General features: G+C 39.1%; 1 long non-coding RNA gene across 5 annotated transcripts in view; it reads right to left on the bottom strand.

Annotated features, from left to right (window-relative positions):
• Window positions 1-22,694, bottom strand: part of LINC02756 (long intergenic non-protein coding RNA 2756) — a 78,165-nt gene that overhangs the window by 1,167 nt on the left and 54,304 nt on the right. For 3 of the 5 annotated variants that reach the window (NR_187311.1, NR_187312.1, NR_187310.1), the window contains 4 exons: window positions 19,920-20,100; window positions 15,262-15,351; window positions 14,916-14,984; window positions 9,061-9,133 (listed from right to left, as the gene is read on the bottom strand). This is a non-coding gene — a long non-coding RNA (long intergenic non-protein coding RNA 2756). Of the gene's footprint in view, window positions 1-8,146; window positions 8,302-9,060; window positions 9,134-14,915; window positions 14,985-15,261; window positions 15,352-19,919; window positions 20,101-22,694 lie in introns of all 5 variants that reach the window. The other 2 variants (NR_187309.1, NR_187308.1) reach the window with 2 other exon arrangements.

Raw genomic sequence — 22,694 nt, 5'->3', positions numbered from 1 at the left:
GCCTTGCCTTTCTAAGCCTAAGGTAGTGGTGGCTTTTGATTCTTGATAGTTTCTATGTTCTCCACCATTTTTGCTGACTTGTCTAATGTTGCTCATGCCTCTGTAGATAATCCATTCCTTGAAGTCTGAGTAGGATTCTGTTCCCTACAAAATACAGCTCAAAAGAGCTACTTAAAGGCAGGCTCTGTATATAATTATTGTTTTTAAACTTTTTGTTTCTAGGCTTAGTCAAGTGCCAGACACTGAAAAAACTAACAGATTCAACTTCCTCCACATCTAATCCATGAGGAAATCTGACTGGTTTTACTCTAATGCATAACTTAAACTCGTCACATTCTTTCCATCTTCAGTGCTATAACCCTAGTCCAAGTGGCATTAATTGTCATCGGGATTCTGCAATAGCCAATTGCCTCCAATGGGTCCCTTTGTTTCTCCTCCAATACCATGTAGTTGAGTCTCTACACAGAAGCCAGTCAAAACGATCTTTTATAAATTTGAAGTCAGATCATGTCATTCTCCGCCCAAATGTTTCCAATGGCTTCCCACTGCATTAAAATTAGATTAAAAGCTATTGCCCTGGGCAACAAAGCTCAACATAATCTGTCCCTGTCTACCTCCTAGAGCTCATCTACCTCTGCCCTGTCTTGTCCGCAAAGCACTTATTACTCTGCCTTCTTGAAAATGACAAACTTATTCCATCTTAAAGTGACATCTATGCATTGTATTATTTCTTCTCTGTGCTCTCACATGGCTGGTTCCTTCTGGTCATTCAGTTCTCAGCTCTGACTTTCTGAAAGCATCTCTTTCTGGACGCTCTAATGCAGCACTTTGTTCTTCCCCAAGTCATTCTTTAGTACATCATTTCATTTTATTTTCTCATGGAACTCATCTCCATCTGAAATTATGGCCCTTATTTACTTACTTTTTTGCTTAGAGTCTGACTCTCTAATGAGAAGGGAAGATCTATGAGAGCAGGACATATATAGGAAAATATCTTGCCAGTCTTATTTCCTACCATTGTCTCTGCAATGTATAGGAATGCCTAGCCCATAAGTGCTACACACACACACATACACACACACATGCATACACATAGACACACACAGACACACACACACAGACACACACAGAGCAAGAGAGAGAAAGAGAGTGGGGAGAGAGAGAGAGATGAAAGATTTACTGATCAGCATTCTTCTCAATGCTTTACATAGATTATTTATTTTAATCCCCAGTACAACTCCATTCATCAAGAACTATTATTATCCTTGTTTTACAAATGAAGAAACTAAGCACAGGGAAGTTAAATAACTTGCCAAAGGATATACCCAATTAGGAAGTAGCAGAGCCAAAATTTGAAATCTGGCCATCTGGCTCTTAGCTGCTCTTAACTGCTAAACTATACAGAGTCCTAACATTTGTTCAATATATTAATGAACACTTCCTGTCAGCTTCTTCCGTTTCACACTTGGACTTTAGAAAAAACGAAGCTATCCAATTTTTAAATGTGGGAGCCTGCCTGACCCCATGCTGAGGGATTTTCTCCCCTTGAAAAAGGATACTATGAAGCCAGGACAGCCAGTGAGGCACAAATCTCTTTCTTGAATGCAAGCCCTTTGGGGAAAGTTTCCAAAGATCCCCAGAAGTGCTGAGCCTGTGGTCTGCCAGAAATGTGGCCCGGAACTTCACGGCAGGAATATTTTTTTCTCAGTTTTCCCTCATTAACTAATTCAGAAAACATTTAATAAGCAGTTTTGTTGCACCAGACACCTGAGACACAGAGATGAATAAGACAAGTGCTCAGCTCTTAATGAGTTTACAGGCTGGTGGAACATCAACTCTATTTTTGGACACACATTCTACTTGTTCATCTATTTTTATTTTGAATCAATTAAAGATGAGAAATTAGAACAGTTTTCTGAACTGACCAACTCTGTGCCTGGAATGGAGCTGCAACTTTGTCCACTGCTGAAGCTGGCCTCAGGTTCAGACTCATGCCAAGAAGCCCAGTGTTCACAGACTCGTCTACAAGTGTGGTGCTGTTTCTTTTACAGCTCCTTTTTGATGACTGTGCCATAGTGGCTGCGCATTTGGAAGTACTTGCCGACTTTTTGAAACTACCCTTTCCTGTCTCAGCCTTAATCCCATTTTGACAGGTAACACTCCAGCACAGGCTTTTCTGCATTAGAGCAATGTTGCTCCCATGCTGACCTTCATCTTCACTCTCCCTTGGCACTGGAGGAAATTACCTACACCCATTTATCTCCTTTTCTTGTAATTCAATCACTCCTATTCATTATTTCTATAGCTGTCTTCCAATTGCTCCCAATTTGTCTATTTCATGCTATTACCCAAGCACCTGAAAACCAACATGGTCTACCACATGGCAGCTCCATATAGGGATCACCTTGCAACCATGTGCAGTAACGCATCTTAAAATACAGCCAAGAAATGCACCCTGTTTTTTATTCAGTTTCACTGCACCATAAGCTTATGTTGAAGTGTCTAATATCACCTTCCTGTTCTTTTTATTCTTTTTTTTTCTTGCTGGTCTTGTTGCTTTCCAGTTTTCTCCCTGGAAATTTAAATAGCTGTGTTTCAGGTTCCTTTCCTCCAGATGTATTAATTTTCAGGTCTCCTTGCTAAAGCTCATTTGGTCATTTCCTGACTATATTTCTAAGCACTGAAGCCACTTTACATAACGTGCCTGTCCTTAGTGATTTTGCTATGACTTTTATTTCAGCTTGATCTGCAAATTTAATTAGTGAGTTCCATGTCTTTCCATTTTAAAGAGTACATAAGATAATGTCAGTTCTCTACAACAGCAGGTGGATAATAGAAACAAACAAGCAGGGAGATTTTACCTTGAACTGCTCTCTGCAAAGTAAGGAGTGAGAGAAATCAAAGAAGATGTTGAAGACATGACACAACAGCTGGGAATGTGACCTTACTGTAGCAGATGCCCCCAAAATTTGCTGGGCTGTTATGCACAGATGGTGTGGCAGTACCTGCCAGTACAGTTTCAGAAGCAAAAAAGCAAAAGAAGATTGAGGCAGAGAAGTGCGATCTCAGTTTAGAAAAGGGCCTAGGGAGACACAGCCTCAAATATGAATGGCTTTTGCAATTTAATCTCTAGGAATAAAGTCAACATCTGTCTTAGGTCAGATTTCCGGGAAACAGACTCAGATGGAATTTTACTGGGGAGTTCTCCCAGAAACAACACCTGTGAAGGAATGAAGGCAGCAGGGCTGGGCAGAAGGAGGAATTGGACTGTTAAATAGTATAAACAGGACCTCAGCTGATCTCACGGACTGTCTTAAGCTGAGATGCCTCTTCAGCAGGATCATACTTTGAGGCAAGGGACTAAGCCTTTATATCCCCACATGGGCCAGTCATTGGACTTGAGCTGCCTGTGGAAAGGGAGCATGAATTTGAATGAGGCTGCTCTTGAGGAAGGCACATTTCTGGAAAAGAACTTGGCTGAGATTCATTGCAGCCAACTCTCTCAGCAGTTGGGAGAATGATTTTCTCAATCCTGGAGGGCATCTGGGTGGCATGCCACATCACCCACTACAACATCTTAGAAAGACCATGCAAACTCACAGCGACATCTCACAGTATGCATTCCCTATTCAGCATTCAGCAAAAGGCTTCTCTCTTATGTCTTCTGTGACTCAGCTGTCATTTGGCCTTCTTGACTGCTCCTTCTCAGTCACCCATTGTTCTCCTTTTTTTTTTTTTATTTGCCTTTTAAATAGGGGCACATTCATTTGTTCCTTCAACAAGTAATTATTAAGTGCCCATTTTGTTCCAGGTCTTCGGTAATATACTATTTTTGACTCTTTTTAATTCCTTTTTTTCTGTGAAGTCTTATCCACTTAAATTTTGCCTTGATTCTCTCCTTTAGTAATTTCCAATTCTTTAAGTACAGCTTTAGCCTCATTTCTAAAAGAGCAATCCAATTTCTAACTCTTGACTTGTGTGCCTCCCATTGAATGTGTCCAGTAGTGGAGGCAGTCAGTATCTTCCCCTGATCCAAGCCTATCTCATTTAATGAAACATCACATAGCCAGTTTCACAAGAAGGAAATACCTGGAGTGGTCTCAAATCTTGTTGTTGAACATACAATTCATCAGCATTGACATCATCTGGGAGCTTCTTAGAAATACAGAATCTTATGCCTCACCAGACCTACTGAATTGGAATATCCATTTTAACCAGAACAATGATTTATATGCATATCAACATAGGAGAAGCACAGACCTAAAACTTTCTTCTCCTCCAAACTCCATACCCAATAGGTAGGTAATTCTGCTTTGTCTTTTAGTCCCTCTCTCAGGAATATTAAAATAACTTCCTAAGAAATCTTACTGACTGCAGTCTTTCTCTTATAGTTGATCCTTCAGACCTATGTATACCTATCATTCTAAAACACATCACGTCCTCTTGCATAAACTTTGAATTGCTTCCAAAGGCTAAAGGATAAAGTCCAAGTCCCGCCATGAAGTTCATACCCTACCTTTCTGTTTTCCCCTTCTACATACTCACACTCTAGCTTTACTCCTTTACTCTTAATACACATTTACACCGTTACACCTTTACCACCATCATGTCATCTTTCATGCTCTTCTTTTGTAGCATTCTATTGCCTCTTACTTTGCCTATGCAAATCTTACTTAGCTTTTAAGATCAAGCCTAAATGCCTTGTCTTCCTTCAAGCTTCCTGCCTGAGCGAATACCAAAACACATTGGTCATCTCTATTTTGCAACATTTTCATTCTACTTTGTGTGAAGCCTGTCTTTTATACCTAGAAAAAGACTTAACACATCATAATAGGGTACACACACATACACAGTCATATCTCACTTAATGATGGGGATATATTCTGAGAAATGTGTCATTAGGCAATTTCATTCTTGTCCAAACATCACAGAGTATACATACACAAACCTAGACAACATTGCCTACTATACACCTAGGCTATATGATATAGCCTATTGCTCCTAGACTACAAATCTTTATAGCATGTTACCTTACTGAATACTGTAGGCAACTGTAACACAGTGGTATTTGTATTTCTAAACATTTCTAAACATAGAAAAAGTACAGCAAAAATATAGTGTTGCACTTTTATGGAACCACCATTGTACATGCAGTCTGTCATTGACTATTGTCATACAACACATGATTACATATGTGTGTGTGACTATACATACGTATGTGTGTGTGTATCTCAAAGGTCTGCTAACCATAGTGTCTAGACTTTGTGGAACAATCCTAATTTCAGTAAGTTTTCAAATTTTCCCATGAACATATGTTTTATATTTGATTATCAGCTTAAAAATATGGTCCTCATTTTCATCATCTCTACTCTGCATCACTTCTGACATCGGCTTTGGGGGTGCTGCATCGTTCAATGTTCAATGAATGGTGGATTATGCTGAGATCTCCAGGGCAGGATCATCTGAGGTTTCCCCGTTGTTTTCCCCAAGCCTGGTTGCTTGACTTCACATCTACACATCCTGCCCTCCTCCCTTCACTTTCCCTGTCTTCCCTTGTTTCCTACTGCCGGAGTGGAAGGAGAGAGATCTATTTCCCTTTGCTAACTCTGTCTGAAGTGGCGGAGTTGATCAATGAGTTGCTGTGCCTGTCCAGGAAAGCCAGTTTGATTGTCCTCCTGTGGCTGGGCTGACAGCATTCAGCCTTTTATGAACTGAATAGTGAAGCACTCTTTGTAGCTCAGTTTCATCTGTTTATGGTAGAGTCCAGCTGTATTTTTTATGTCTGCTGTTGTTATATTGTTGCAATTGGTATTAATCTCCTGCTAGTTTATTTGCTGTAGATTTATAATGGCTTTACATCATAAAAATGAAAAAAGAGAGAGATCAAACTTTAGTTACTGAGGAGGTCCAAATGAAAGGGTGAAGATACTGTGGGCTAATTAAAACCTACATAGCTTCATAAGTCTATCTGTACTCCTGGAAAAGGGAGATCTACCTGGATGATGATTTCCATGCCTAATGAAGATGAAATAAGTTTTTTTTTAGTTTGTTTTTTGTTTTTTTTTTTTTTTTTTTTTGCTGTAGTAACAGAAAGGCTCATTCCTGGGGTATGAAGCCTGCTAAAGCAATCCCTACTCCACGAGTAAGAGACAGAGCAACATGGAGTGAGGTGCCCTCAATATCAATTTGATTTTCAGTACTAGTGGTTAAAAGGGTACTTTCAAAAAATTTTTCATGAAGATCTACAATTCCAGCTTAGGACTGTGGCCACATTCTTAAAACTCCATATTCTATAATTTTCATAGCAAAGTGTGTACATCAGATTCCTCCAAGCTTGACAGACACTGTAATTTTCTTGGCACACATGTTTTGCCTAAAAATGAATGCATTTGTCAAAGCAGAAAGATACCAGTGATAGCTGACATGAAATTAATTAGATAGATAATCCCCCTTTGATAGGTGAGCTATTAAAAAAATTAAATTTTAAAATATATTCAGACTTCAATCTCATTAACATACTTTATTAAAATGCTTTAAAATTCTTTTCCGAAAAATTGAAGTAGATAAATAAACTTTAGTTCAGGAGGTAACCTTCTAGAGTGTACCTCTATATCTGACTTTCTCCTGATGAGATTGCCCAGGTATTAAGACCATCATTTATGGAAAAGTTACTTACAGGAAGAATGAGACATAGGATTGAGATCATTAAGTAAGACATGGGTTAAAATGCTTGCAGAGAACAACTAATTCTTTAAGCTTCAGATTTGTCTCTTCTGTGGGGAAGCCGTTATGATTGGTTCCACTTTCTTTTGCTGTCCCCAAACAGAGCTAATTATTCTCCTCATTACGCTGCTGTTCCTTTTTGACTTCTCTTTCATGGTGCCTATCATGTGGTAGAACACATACCTTTCATGTGTTTGTCATTCCTGTGAGACTGTGGGTTCCACATGGTAGCTGAATTGTTTTATCACCACAATCATCATCTCCTCTTTATCATCACTTTACCAAAGCTAAAGTTTATTGAGTACTTACTATAAACCAACCATTATTCTAAGCAATTATATGAAATCTATGGGGTAGTTACTTTAAAAGTCTTCATTTTAAGGTGAGGAAACTGAGGCTCAGAGACCTTCAGTGAGTATCATTCACTTCCATAACCTCATTGCCTAGCACTCTGTTGAAACAGAGTAGGCACTCAGTAATATTTGTTGAATAAATGTCTCCTTAGATAATCTCTGTAGTCTGTTACTTATATATAAAATTAGCTACACAGTTGAATATGAAGACTGACTTGAAAATATTCTCTCCTGCTTGTTTAATTCAAACTTAGTTTAATCATAAATTTCATGTTTATCTTGGTTGATTTTGATTCTTATGGACAAAGATGGAAATGATCTAGAGTTCCCTGGGAGATGCACATGTAAAATGGTGAAGACTTTAGGGGCACTATTAAGGTGACTCTGGACTATGAGCTCTGAAATATACATATACTATCTGCCCAATTTCCCCCAACCACTTTCAAATTCATGTCTGTGTTCTGTCTCAATTGTCTGATTCATTTATTCATTCAACAAACCTTTTTTGAGCTTAGACACTGTTCTAGGCCTTAAGATACAATACTGAATATAACAGAAAGAATAGGTGCTCTCAAACTGCTTATCATCTAGTGGAGATACGTAGCTAGGACAGGATAGAAATTGATAAATACCACCACAGAATTTAACAAGGAAACACAAAAATTATAGCTAACTTTGTCTTATGAGATGTCAGGAAAGTCTTCCTTCTGTATTAAGACATGAAAAATAAAATAGGAGGCAAAGAAATTGTAGGAAGAGTATTTCAGGGACTAGGAATGTGCAAAGATCTTAAGGAATGGCTATCAGAACATACATGGCTATCAGAACATGTTTGAGAAATTGCAAATAGTTCAGTATGATTTGAACATAAATGTGTGGTTACAGACAAAGATGCAGAGAGAAACAGGTCAAATCATGAAGGCTCTTGTATGTCACACCTGTCCATTTCAACCAAGGAAAGGCAAGGGAAAGTTATCAACGAGGTATAAGGATGAGAGTAAATGTAACATTTTAATTTTGAATATGCTCCTATAAGCAATAGATAGAATTTTCATCCTACAAGTACTTACTATGTCTCAAAACACGGTAGTATGCAATACTTGGTGGATCAGAGGGGTCAAATTGGAGGCAAGAAGATCAGTTGGCAAGAAGAATGTTATAATATATATTGAAGAAGTAGAAATAAAAGACATTTATTTGTAGTCTATTTTCTTGATATTCCTTCCTAATGAGGACAATCATGAAGCAAGAGTTTATTGTTCAGTACAGTTACTTAGACTTACTACTTAGCTTATAAGTACTTCACCATGTCCTTATCTGACAGACCTCTACTAACTAGACTGGAAAATGGTTCAGTGGAAAGGGTAAATGCTTTGGAAGGAAACAGTTTTGAGTTCAAATTATAGCTCTGCTACTTTTTAACTGAGTGGATGTGAGCATCTGTCTCATGTAGGCTCTTTTTTTTTATATGTTTATACATACCTAGTAGGTATATATTTATGGAGTATATTAGATATTTTGATACAAGAATACAATGCATAATAATAACATCAGAGTAAATGGGGTATCCATCACCTCAAGCATTTATCATTTCTTTGTGTTACAAACATTCCATTATACTCTTTTAGTTATTTTAAAATATATAATAAATTACTGTTGACTGTAGCCACCCTATTATACTATCAAATACTAGATCTTATTCATTCTATCTAACTATATTTTCATACCAATTAACCCTCCCAACTTCTCCCCAGCCCTGCACTACCCCTCCCAGCCTCTGGTAACCATCCTTCTACTCTTTGTCTCCATGAGCTCAATTGTTTTAATTTTTAGTCCTCACAAATTACTCCGAATATGCAGTTTCTTTTTCTGTGCCTGGCTTATTTCAGTTAACATAATAACCTCCAGTTCTATCTATGTTGTTGCAAATGACAAGCTCTCATTCTTTTTTATGGCCAAATAGTACTCCATTGTGTATATGTACCTCATTTTCTTTAACCATTTGTCTGTCGATGGACACTTAGGTTGCCTCCAAATCTTGGCCATTGCGAACAGTGCTGAAATAAACATGAGAGTGCAGATATCTCGTCAATATCCTTATTTTCTTTCTTTTCGTCATATACCTAGCAGTGGGGTTGCTGGATTATATGGTGATTCTATTTTTGTTTTTTGGGGAACCTCCAACCTGTTCTCCGTAGTGGTTGTACTAATTTACATTCCTACCAACAGTGTACCAGGATTCTCTTTTCTCCTCATTCTCTCCAGCATTTGTTATTGCCTGTCTTTTGAGTAAAAGCCGTTTCAACTGGGGTGAGATGGCATCTCATTTCATGCAGGTTCTTAAGCAGGCAATTCTATTCCCTTATTTCCCTTGTAGAAACCTGACCTTTACATGACTTCCATTTCTGTCTTTGTTGTAAAATGACACCATTTTAGGTTAATGCTATCAAAAGGGAGTCAAAATTAGAAAACAGAGAAGGGGAAAGAATGAATTATATCCTAGAAACTTAGAGTAATATGTATTATTTGAAGGGTAATCTCATTAGTCAAAATTCTTGCCTCATAAAATACCAAAAGCCTGTATCTGAAGATTATTTTTTCTGCTATGTGGTAGGTCATCATAAGATAATTTTAGTTGGATCAACTTTTATGCAACTATGTGTTAGTACTAGGTGTGCTGAGCACTTCTCATGTGTAATCCCAGTCAATACTCACCATACATACATGGGGTAATTATTATGCATTTATTTTGCAGATGAGAAAGCTGAGGTTCAATGAGATAAAGGTACATGTCCCCCCAGAGCACCAAGAGGGCTGAACCCCACCTTTAAGGTCATCAAGCTCTAAGGCCCATGTTTCCTCCAGGACACATGGTGATCTTTTCCATGGAAAAAACATTCAAGTCACAGAAAGAAAACACTGGAGAAATAATGTCCCTTTCTGCCCTCAAAAAATGTGTAATATGGTTTAAAGCACATATAGCAATGATGACTAACAAGTCTCTAGCTGCCACTCCATGTTCACCTGACATAGACTGACCATGTTGATGAGGATGCCAGTATAACATTTTCTCACCCCACCTTATTCCCAGGTACTGATCACCATGGCCCTGCCATCATTCCCCGCAGGCTCTTTGGAAAACCATGGAGGTATGAGTGTGCCAAATGAAGTGTCATGTACAGGCTGTCTCAGCTGAGGAGGATTAGTGAGAATTAGTGGCACTGTTGGAATCAGGCTAAGGACATGGCTCTGAACAAGTTAACTACTCAGCCAGGGCAGGGTTCTGCACACTGAGCCAGACGGCTGCACTCAGCCGCGACTCAGGATCAACTTTCTGGCTACTGAAATGAATAATCAAGTCTCCAGGCAATTCTCACAGAGCCTCTTATTGGAGGCTTGGCCTGCCTGGTTTGGTTGACCAAGCAGTATAATTAGCCAGGAATGTTCAGAAATAAACATTACTGAAGGAGACATAAAACTGTTACCCATGGCTGCACCTATCCTCAAAATGGCAGAGACTGCTCCTGGAATGACTAAGTAGACCAAAAAAAAAAAAATTGTTTTAAAGCTTCAATTTATTTCAGTAGAGTTGGCCCCACTGGTTAATTTTTAAGTAAACGTTGACTCTTCCCAACCTCTGCTTTACATTAGAAGGGATTTTCCCTGAATACTTCTGGCTCTTCTCCACCCTATGCACACAGCAACCTGAGGAGAGGGGAGGGGGCAGTGCCTCAGATGATTAATAAATTTGTGAAGAATAAAGCTCAGCTCAGCAACTTCTGTTGGGAACAGGTGCCCACAGGGAGCAGGGTCTCTTCTTTGTTCACTCATTCTGCAAATCTTAGCTGCATGGGCCTGGGACTTGGCAGGCAGAGGAATAAGTCTTATCTATTCAAAGGTTTATTGTTAAGAAGCCTGTTTAGTTGTCATATGAGGCTGCATCCTCTGCCTTAGCTGTTAGTGGTCATAAAAGGATATTTTGATCGCCATCTTTTATTCTTTTCTCAATTTATTCAGAACTCAGGTGAGAAAGAGGGTCATCAATTATTCTGGCTGGTTCAGAGACCCCTACACCCCCATGAAAGTAAAGTGCAGTAAATCAGATTATTAAGTCCATGTGGAAGAGGAAAGTGGAGGGGCCAGAATAGACTCTCTGGAAAGGGGCTGAGCTTCAGCAGGCCAGTTTATCTCAGACATGTGGGAAAGCCCCTGCTTACATTGGTTACACGACCAGAAAAAGAGATTACCAAAGAAATTGGTAGAATTGTCTCCACACAGGTGCCCTTAAAAATCTTATATGTGGGGGGAATTATGTAGATAGTCATCACAACCATTAATAAAATCTGCTGAGTGTGCTTAGTCACTCAGAAAGCCTGTATGCCTTCTTGGTGATAGGTCTGGCAGCAGGACAAATCCCCTCAGGCCAATGGAGCACTTATTACTTTGCAGACTACATTAGTAGTTCTGGTAAAGAAGGGACTCAGAAGCCTAGTGTTACAGACCCTCACATTGATTCCAAATAAGATGTTAAAAGGATCTTAGACAATAATCTGTTACTAATTTTATTTCATTTTCTTCTCCTCCACCTCATTTCTCAACACCCTTACTCAACTAGTTGAGATCTCTGCTTTAACTCAATAATGTATTTCCTTCCAACAGATTGTAGTAAGTAGATCCTGGACTATAAAGATTTTGGAGACCTAAGTAGAGGTGAAAACAGAAGAAAGCAAGGCTGTGGTCATCACTCATGAGGCTTATTAGGTTGTGGGAAAGGGGAGAATGGTAGATGTAAAGGGAAAAGTTTTGGATCCCCAAGATTAGTGACAGGAATCACTTTACAGGCTTTGTGGTCCAGTTGGAGAAACAGAGGGATACAGTTAAGTGTTAGAGTTAAGAGCTTGGTATCACCCAGAATGTGGCTCTGAGAATTCTTCCTGATCTTTTCTGTTGTTCCCATGTGTTTTATTGTGCCACATGCTTCCAGTTTTACACTGGGACTATTGAAGGTGCCATTGATAAAAAAGAAGTTACTTTCTACACTCACTGTGTTATCCATTGTCTGTCCATTGAGGGCCTGCTGGGTGTCAGACATAGTCCTCAGCTAAGGGGAGAGGAAGGGAAAATGGAAAGTGCAGCTTCTTGGTGGCCAACATGGAGGACACAATGTCCTGCCTATTGGTGTGGTACCTTATTAATATTCATTACTCCAGGCTTAACATTCTATGAGTCAATAGATTAAGTAAAATTTTTTAAAACTTGAATTCTCAATATGATGGGAGGATATGTAAGAATAATGGATGTTATTTTATTGTCCAGAGTAATAAAATTTGCCCTAAACCTTCAGTAAGCAAATGGCTCTCTGAGAGAGGTGGTGGGAGCAGGCAGTGGTTTCAAGGAGAAGAGATTTGCTGGAATTCACTAATGAAGACATGAAAATGTCAAAACTCAATCGAAGCCTTAAAACATATCCAAGGGCACAGATTTGGAAAAGCACCTTCTTCAAGAAAATGCCATAGTATATGTATTGCATAGAACTGATCATTATTAGAATATGAAAAATGGCTCCCAGTTATAAATTCAAGGGTGACTGCTCATAATAACCACAGAGGACCCTGTATGTGCTGCCAATTGGCTAAATCTTTCTGTAGAAATTTTATGAAGAATTAGCATAAAGGAGGAATAGGTGCCCTCTCTGTTGCTCTTAGAACTAAAAAGTCAGAGTTATTGTTAATGAAGGTCATCTAGCTAAGCTACCCATTTGAAAAGCAGATTTCCAAAAGACATTCAAATGGTAAAGTATCCAGAATGCCACCAGTCCACATGACTTACAGAGGTGCATTAGGGCACCCCCTTTGGGGAGATGGATAATTCAATGAGTGGGTAATTCTCCTGTAAGGCCAGAAAGTGGTATCTGTTTCACTGGGTGGTATGACATGTTGGTATGCCACAGAGCAAGGCTCGATGAGTGGCAGGGTTGGGCTAAGTAAAATTCAGCCCCATCTGTCCCTGTGGGTGGGTACTTTGGTACAGTGACCATTCAGCACAGAGACATGTAGAAGCACTGGAGGCCAAACAAGACACTGGTTTATGTATCTAAATTCCAGGCAGCGAATCAGATTCATGCAGGAAGTGACTGCAACTGTGGAACCCTGTTAAGGTTTGATGGGACAATGACCAGCAGTAATTACTGGGCCCTAATTCCTTAGAATATCAACCTCAATAATTTCTTTCTTTCTTCTGGTCGCTGAAGATCTCCAACGTTCCTGGCAGTAACTTTTCCTGGCCTGGCCAATCTCAGTTAGCCTCCTTGAAGTTTCAGAGGAGCATAGCAAGGAGGGCAGAGAGAAAGAAGCTCCTGGGGGCCTCTGTATGAATTCAGAAAAGATTAAACCATTCTTAGCTAACTTACTTCTCTGTTCAAGCTCTGGGCATTCTTGTCAATAAAAAAGTTTATGCAATTAATTTTTAAGGCCCCTTCCAACTCTAAAGTCTGAGCTAAGCAAAGACACATTTTCTTTGATTACTTAGTTACATGACAACTTTCAGATAAAATATAAGCTGCCCAGAGAAACATTGGCACATTTGTTAACAGTATTTTGTTAAACTGAGAAACATGACAAAAATATTTTTTTGTTGTCATATTTCTTACAGTAAACTCTCATTTATTCTATAAATACAATTTCTATTTTTGCTTTAATTTATAGGAATCCAAGCTAAAAAAAAACGCATATATTATTGAATTTCCAGTCAATCCTCAGAAGAGCCCACAGTTAACATAGCATGTATAAACATTTCTGTAGATTTTGGGGAGGTGATGTTCATGCTTGCCAAAAGTTGAGTGAGTGGCAAGGACTTAATCTATGAGTCATGTTAGAATGATCTGAAGTAATAAGTACTAGTTATAGGATTGCAAAATCATTCTTTCAAAGTAGTTATTTAAGAAAAATAAAGAGCTCTTGCTATATCAGAATTCAGCAAAACATACATTTTAGAATTTCAGATAAACCATAAGTGGTTGAAGTGAGTTAGGGCCCATTTGGGGGTGAAGGGCTTCCCAGAAGACAAGTTTCTGATACCAATAATATGAAAAATATATTTTTCTCACATCTTAGAAAGTGCAGTTCACTATGCTCCAGTTAAAGTCCAAAAGGCTTAAAAAATCTTGCCCAATGAGCACACTTTCAGAGTAATACACTGAATTTCTGAGTTCCAATTGGTATTTGTCTAAACAAAGTTGTGGGGTGATAAAGATATTCCAGAAGTATACTACAAATATTTCATACAGTTTAAGGGCATTAGCATATATTTTTCAGAAAAGTCAGAAAATCTAGATGAATTTACATCAAATATAATAAATTATTTACTTGAGATTCTTATTCCCTAGGCCTAATTTTGAATAAATGACTACAGTATGCCTAGTGGGGCCTGGAAAATGTCTCTCTAAGCAACCATGTTGAATTAATTATACTCTTCCAGCCATAAAAAATTAAACAAAAAGAGAAACTAAAGCAAGAGTATTAAAAAGAGAATACATTTAGCTCAAAAATACTTAAACGATGTTTGTAGTTTCAAGCAGCATTTCTTGGAAAACTGAAACTAAGAATATAACTTAATGTGAGGGTAACATAATGCTAGTTATATGTGCAGATAAACCAGATCATCAAATATTAAGAATCTCCAGTCTTCACAGATTTGAAAGTTGAGGATTTAGCTCTGGGCACCATAGACTGGCACTCTGTTCAGAAGCACTTCCCTCCTTTGTCTGCTTTCTCATCCCATCTTCAGCTGCTTTTCTGTCCAAGTGTCTCTCCCATTTCCACAGTCCCTGTAGGTGCTTACTGCTCATGGTTCTCCTGCTCATGGTTCTTGGTTCCCACGGTTCTTCTCTGATGATTGTATGCAAGGAGTCTAGAAGGAAAAAGAAAAAAGATCTGATTTGAATTTCCAAAATCTTCTTATGTCAGATGGCCCTAAGGGAGCTGTAGGTTACCAAAAGCCTGTGTTTATCTTATTTGGTGTCTTGTAATGTTCTCTGATTTAAAGAAAAAGTAAAAGGGCCTCAGGGAAGACTTCCCTGATCACCCCATCTCGAATAGAATTCCATTCCCCGTGCAGTCAGGGTCCTAAGCCCCAAAATTCAGAAAGAGAATTGAAAGTGCTGAGACCCAGTCCCCCATCCACTGACCTTTCAGGGTGGAAGTGGTTCAGGAAAACCAGCAAGCCGCCTCTTCTCCCCAGTCTCCTGCCCAGGACTGTCCCATTGACAGAGCTCAAACTGGAAAAAGGGTGTGGAAAATAATTGAGAGTGATCTGGATGGGACAGAGAAGATCTCTTCATACCTGCTCTGCTCTCTGCCTCTTTACCATGTTTTATTTTCCTTAGAAACTCTGACATTATTCAGTGCTAAATTTTGTTTATTTGTTGATTATTTTCATGGCGGGAAGAAAGGTTTATGAAAACAGAGACTTACTTTGGATTCTCTCTAGTTATAGAAAGCTACTTGGCACATAGAATATACTCATTAAGTATTAGTGAAGAGAAGGGAAGAAGGAAGAAAAAAAAGACAAGGCAAGGCAGGAAGAAAATATGAAAATTTTATATATGTAGACTATCAGGAAGAGCTATATTTTCCTCTGTGGTATGTGAGATGATTTTAAGTGATATCTGGGTAACTTCATTTTATTTACTTATTTTGTATGTATTTTAATGGTGATTAGGTGACATTCTTACAATGGAACTTGATTAATTATTTAATATAAAAATTCAGCTGGGTATGGTGGCTCACACCTGTAATCCTAGCACTTTGGGAGGCCAAGGCAGGAGGATTGCTTGAGGCCAAGAGTTGGAGAGCAGCCTGGGCAGCAAAGTGAGACCACCTCTCTACCAAAAAAAAGAAAAAAAAAAAAAAGTAGCTGAATGTGGTGGTGCACACTTTTAGTAATAGCTACTCAAGAGACTGAGGCAGGAGGATGGCTTGAGCCCTGGTATTCAAGACTGTAGCAATCCATGACCGCACACTGCACTCCAGCCTGGGTGACAGAATGAGACCCTATTTCTTAAAAGAAAGATTAATTTCCAGGAAAATATTAGTGACATATTAATAAGGGTAAGACAATGCTGGACAATACATGAAGTTTGAGAAAATGGAAAGGAAAATGTTCTCCATAACTTTTATGTTTTTATAAACAACAGTAACACACATGACCCTTTTTACTGCTCTAGTGTTTACTGCTGTCCAAATAGTTTCACTCCCACCATGCAATCACATAACAATACTAATTACCAGGGAGTTTAAGAGGCATTTCCCAGGGTCTTGGATCAAGTCGGTGACAGATTTAGGAACATAGCTCAGATGTTCTGTTGGGAGAATGGTTCTCTCATGTCTTGTTGAGCATGAGGCTCTCCAAGCAGATGAGTAGTGACTCTGTCCTGGCCCATTTCTATAGGCTGGAGTGGTCAACACACAAACTCCACAGTTAGGTGGCCCTAGCTCGGTCACAGGTCCACCAGTCACAGTGGCAACCCTGGGTAAGTTACTGTTCCTCTCTGTGCCTTGATTTCTTCATCTGTAATATGATATAATAATAATCCCTTTCCCATTCGGTCATTGCAAGGACTAAATGAAATAACATAAGCACCTAGAAAAGTATCTGGAACATAGTATATATGTTGGTTTTGTAGGGTGGGGATATTTCTAATCAGCCAGAATCACAGCCTGCTTCTTTCTGTTCTTGAATTATCCCAGCCATATGTGCAGAGCAAGACTCCAACAGCACATCCTGTATCAGTTTGGGGTGCCCAGCATTGATTTATAGGTACTGGATTACTTGTTAAGAGACAAATGCATTATAATAATTAAATTCTGAGTGAGTGGACATTTCATAGATGTGTGTGGGAAGACAAGAGGGTCTATGAAAATGATGCAAAATGTGCATGCTATGACTACCAGCTTTGGGATAATGCAAAAAAAAAGTCTGTATAGATGTGAGGTAAGTAACTACATTAATACTAATGGGGCCTGCATTTTTACTTTTTCCACTGAAGACATGCACTTGAATTTATTAGCAATAAGGAATACTCCCCCATCTGCGATGCACCTGGTGTATGCTGAGCTTGCTTGTGCCTCGTGTTGTATTACATGCAGTTAAGTCATTTGTATAAATTCGTATTTTTTTCTTCTCCACCTTCAGTCAACCTTTAGATCAAGATACTGAATAAAGTCAATTAGCAAGCACAAAGTTGCCCAGGTTTGGAATTTGCTCTGTGACTGGAATGGAGTAAATGGATGGAATTCTTATACAGTTTTTAGCTAGTTCTTTTAGACTGAGAAAGGAAGTAGGGATTTTTAGTTGACATATAGGCCCCTCTGCATAACTCCATGTCACAAAGGTGGCCTCAGACTTTATCTTAATTCAAGGGGATGCTGGATTCAGAATGAATGATGGCATCACTTCTGTTACAAAGGAAAAAAAGTCATAAGCCAAAAAGCAAGCAAACAAACAGGAGGTCACAATGTCAATCAGGTTGTCCTGAAAGAAGATGATCTTAAGTCTCTTGGTGAGAAAATGCTCAGTATGATATCTCTTGAAATTATTAGACAGCAGCACAGTGCTGTCTTCACAAAAAGGCGGTATCAGAGTTGTTGAGGGTGTGGACACAAGGTGTATAATTCCTTTTGGAAAGAATTCAGAGAAAAAAAGGGCCCTCATGGCGCCTTAAGATTATAAATAATGTCTTTATTTTATTGATGATATCTTGGCCCTTGTAAAAGATTCTGCTCTTTTTTTTTTAAATTTAGACACTTGTGGTAGAAAGGTGAAATACACAAAATTTAATCAGCTGATTATCTTACACATTTTTATAGCAACGCTTTTCAAACCTAAATGGTGAAAAGCATCTTCATTTATCAGAATTATTTTTGAACTCAGCTACTGCAGGGCTTTTTAAAAATGACCCTAATAAGACTTGAGCTTTCAGACATTCCCAGGTGTGGAGATGGGGCAGGTTAGCAAAATACCAACCCAGAGGACCAGCCTAGACTTTGGGCTGGATCGTGTTAGGGGAGTCAGAGATTTTGAGCAATTATGACCTAGAACATGCTTAAAATCAGCACCAGAGTTGCCAAACCAAATACAGTGGAGGACTGATTGGCTGGACATCAGGAGTTGGAGAGATTCAGGACTAAGAAGAAAATAAGTAGTTAAGAACTTGATGATGAATAGAGTTTGAGTTCTCTCATCCTCTTAATGGAAATACTGATAGTCCATATTTCACAGGGCTGTTGTGAAAATTAATTGGGATAATAAATACAAAGCTTTTAGCAAAGTTCTTGTAACTTGATAATAGCAGCTCTGCTTTTGTTTTTATCATTATGACATTAGTAATGATAATTATTATTATGATTAAGGAATTGCAGAGGAGGAAAACATCTTAAAGTGATGAAATATCCCAAGAAGTCTTTTGTAACTTATTTAACAATCGTGCATATATCTAACCTTGAATGTCTGAGGGAGACTTGGGCAAGTGGCAGAAGGGTTTTTAAATATGTTATTTTCTATAGTAGCACAGGTGAATTGGGAGTAAAGAAGCAGATATGATGACAGATGAAGAAATTTCAATGAGTCAGAGCAATGCAGCCCTGAGAGCTCTTCCAATTTTATACTAGGGAAGGCTGGCATTTCTTACCTTATTTTAGTCACGTGCAATGTTTTCTGAAGGTCTCATTAAAAATGATGCTACTTGGCATATTCCCCTTACCAAATGTAACCCGAGTTAAGCCTCAGATCTGGTCTTTTGTTTTGTTTTGTCCATGAACAACAGACAGTGACTATTATTCTAAACAGGGCATCCACAGAATGACTTAAATAAGCATATCATTGTCAAAAAGCAGAGCCTCTGGAAGCTGAGGGCCCCAAGTTGAATAAAATCTTGATAATAATGTTTGTAGAGATATTCACTGAGGAGGCCTACTGTTATAGCCTGAATTATGTCCCCCAAAATTCCTATGTGGGGTCCAAATTCCTGCTACTGCAGAATATATTTGGAGATAAGATCTGTAAAGAGGTAGTGAGGCTAAAATAAGGCTAATAACATGGGGCCTGGAGTCCTTCCAAAAGGAGAAAGAGATAGCCCAGGCACACACAGAGAGACCATGCGAGGACATAGGGAGATGGTGGCCCCCTGCAAGGAGAGAGGCCTCGGGAGAAAACAAAGCCACTGACACCTTGATCTTGGACTTCTAGTCTCCAGAGTTGTAAGAAAATAATTTTCTGTTGTTTAAGCCACCCAGTCTGTGTTGTTTTCCCATGGAAGCCCCATCAAACTAACCTACCCACTTTTCTCTAGAAACGTCAGCCTGATCTTTTGCTTTCTGTGCAACAAAAAGTTCAAGAAATATGAAGAGAGGGATTCAGACTCTGTTTCTCTTTATTCAGGCTTTACAGTAACAAGCATGACAAAGCAATTGTGTTGTCCATGGCTGGGACATGTTAAGTGTTTGAGTGGTTCTCATGGCTAGACTCAGGCTGTAGTCACTGAAATGGATGAGGCCACAATGTAATTTCAACCCTTAGAAGTATGCTGAAGGAAAATGATAAGCTTGTTTGGAAAGATCATTGGTTTTCCTGTCACCCATGAAGAAATACACGTACACACAAGTGTATGTATGTATAAGTGTGTATACATTCACATGCATAGATGATTATATGTAGATCCTTAAAACAAAACCAAAACCAAAAAATAAAAACCCTTACACAGGCCTCATTTACTGCAACATCCAGAAATCATAAAGAATTGTTATGCACCAGAAACAAGAGGAAGTATGAGAAAACCCCTACGAATACCTGCAACCACTCTCTTCAGATCTTTTCTCTCTCTCTTCACTGAGCTAGTGCTGTTATACATTGGGGCCACTACTGGCAGATCTCCTAGAGGCCTCAGATTCTTCTTAGAACGGCAATTATATTCTTCTAAAGCCTCGGGAGTGATTTGAAGCCACCACAGCCACAAAGACTTTCTTAAATCCTAACATTAAGAAAAAAATAAGTTAGTGAGGCTAGGAATTACAATAGTGCTTCTGTCTTCCTGGAAAATCCACCTAGTGGCTTGCAAAGCCTGCATTTATCTCTCTTCCAGTCACCAGTGTGGTCATGACTGGGTCTCTGTGCTCCAGACTGGCAGAGAGCTGCTGGCCATGCAATACTATCTATAGGGAGAGAAATTGAACACTAAGTCAAGCGGGGCTCTCAATCCACAGAGTCTGGCTGGAAGTGCAGCTGGACCCAGAAAAGAGCATGGCACTTCATCATATGTTTCATTGCTATTAATGTGGTGAAAAACATAGTCAGCTCCTCTCTTAAATCACAAAAATCACAGGCAGCAACAGTTAATAGGGAATCCACATGTCAGCTCATCCGGACTAGGGGAAGCCAGAAACAGCTCCACTTCTAAATTAGGTGAGAGTGAGGTTGGTCTGAATGGCATATAAGCACTCCTTTCTTCTAATTCGACCCCTGCCTGCCTGCCCTGCTTCTCTCATTAACATGAGCTTGCAATTAAGACTTGGCGCACCGAAGACCCAAGTGATCCTTCAGGCCTGAGATGTGCCTGTGGCTTTTCCTTCCTTTGTGGAATGCTGCTGCCCATTTGAAAAATACAGAAATAGAGCTGTCCATTTAAGCACACGAAATCATAAAATGATGAGAACATAGACACTAACTGTTCCTGTATCCCAATAGCAAACCACCAGAGGGACGTATTCCTGTCAGAGAAGCTCTTTCTGAAAGTGTCCACCTTTTAAAATATTTTACACTCTTGTAAAATGCGTTAAATTTCATTAAGTCTAAATGAAGTTTATTTTCCTTGTATGTGTTTTCATCTATATTTTAATGCAATGTGAATTGTTATTGATGGACACATCTCAGTCCTGTTTGAGTGTGAGCAAACAATGCAGCTTATTGAGCAGACTTTGTCGACAGTTTCCATTCACACGCTGAAGGCATCTGAACAAGAAAGCCATCCGGCAGATATTTATGAACATAAGGCTCGCAGCTGAGATGCCCATGCACAGCAGATCTATGGAGGGAGAAATTAAATCAAAAGCGATAAATAAGTGTCTGGTGTGGCTGAAATAAATGCACAAATGTAAAAAGAACATAAAAAGGTAGAGAAAGAACAGGGAAGGGGCAAATAAGACAGATTCTGAATTATGGCAGATATGTTGGCATTCATGTTTTATCAAGATCTTTGCTTCCATGGAGTTCAAGCTGAATGTTTGATCAGTTATTTATTTAACAAATTAGCTGCACCTACTAATTGCCCTGCACTCAGGATATAATAATATAGTCTCTGAAGATTTCACTGTCGATCTGGGAAGTGAGACTTTGACTTGACTTTTTCTCAAAACTCTGTAGAGATGTGAAGAAAAGTTCTCTGGGAAAAAATGAACCCCGTTGAGCTTGGGGATTGCATTCAGGTGGTGGAAATATTGGAGAAAGGCTTCTCTAGTGGTATGGCAAGATTTTAAGGAAAGAAGGGTTTAAAAAAGGATGGATTTATGTAGGACAGGGTGGGGAGGTGGATCTGTGGGGCAGAAAAATGGTATCAGGAGGCCAGAATGGCACATGTAATGGCAGGGAGACCACAAAAAGTCTTGGGATGGTGTAAAAGCCCAGATGACAGAGCACAGATAACATACACTGAAAGTGGGACATGAAGCCCAAGAGGGGAACTGGGCTGGTTGATGCCAAGGCACTTGTGCTACATCCTATAGCCATGGGGAGCTCACTGAAGGTTTTAGTAGACATAATAAGCATTGTTTCCCTGGAAGATTATTCTGGTGTGGAGGATGGACTGAGGCAGACGCGGGGTACTGAAAGGAAGATTTTACAATTAGTTTCAACCAGCTTAACACCATTTCCCTTTCCTTCCTCAAGGGATGAGTCCACAAGGTCTGCAGCTACACTCTAACCCCTTAGGGAATCATGTCAGGTTTCTGCTTTCTGCTTTGATCCTGCCTGCTGTCTCTGGCTCCTGCTTCATTGCTTTTACCTGTGTTGTTTCTCTCTGTCCTAAGGGCACTAGCACCACAAATAGGAAAGAAAGATTTGAAAGCCATTTTTAAAACAGCCAACAAATGTATTTATTAGCTTGATCCACTCAGCCCACACACTGACCAACATTTGAAGATATTTTGGTAACCTGTCTTTATTTTTAAAAATTTCTTCTCATCCAAACCCAAGCTCCTGGAATTTTCATTTGGGTCTGATGTTATGGACACTTCTCTCATCTGGGAGTGTTCAGATAGCTAGCTCCAGTCCAATTGATTCAACAATACAAGTTTTCATTCCTTATCCAGCCAGCTTTCTCCCTTAGGGTTCGTGTAATGATCACGTTAATGTGCCCTTCATCTAAAGTGGTCTTTAAAGTATAAAAGGAACAAATACTATTGCTCAAAGCTACAATGAATACCTGCTTAGGTACTATTCCAAATATGTTGCATGGATTAATTTATTTAATCCCATAGTATGGATACTTCTCATATGTTATCTCTTTTAATTTTTATAAAACAGTGATAGACTGGATTAAGAAAACGTGGCATATGTATACCATGGAATACA

Source organism: Homo sapiens, chromosome 11 (genome assembly GCF_000001405.40).
Source record: "Homo sapiens chromosome 11, GRCh38.p14 Primary Assembly".
Taxonomy (NCBI): domain Eukaryota; kingdom Metazoa; phylum Chordata; class Mammalia; order Primates; family Hominidae; genus Homo; species Homo sapiens.
Note: the sequence above shows the minus strand (reverse complement) of the source record. Positions and strands in the feature narration are given on the sequence as shown.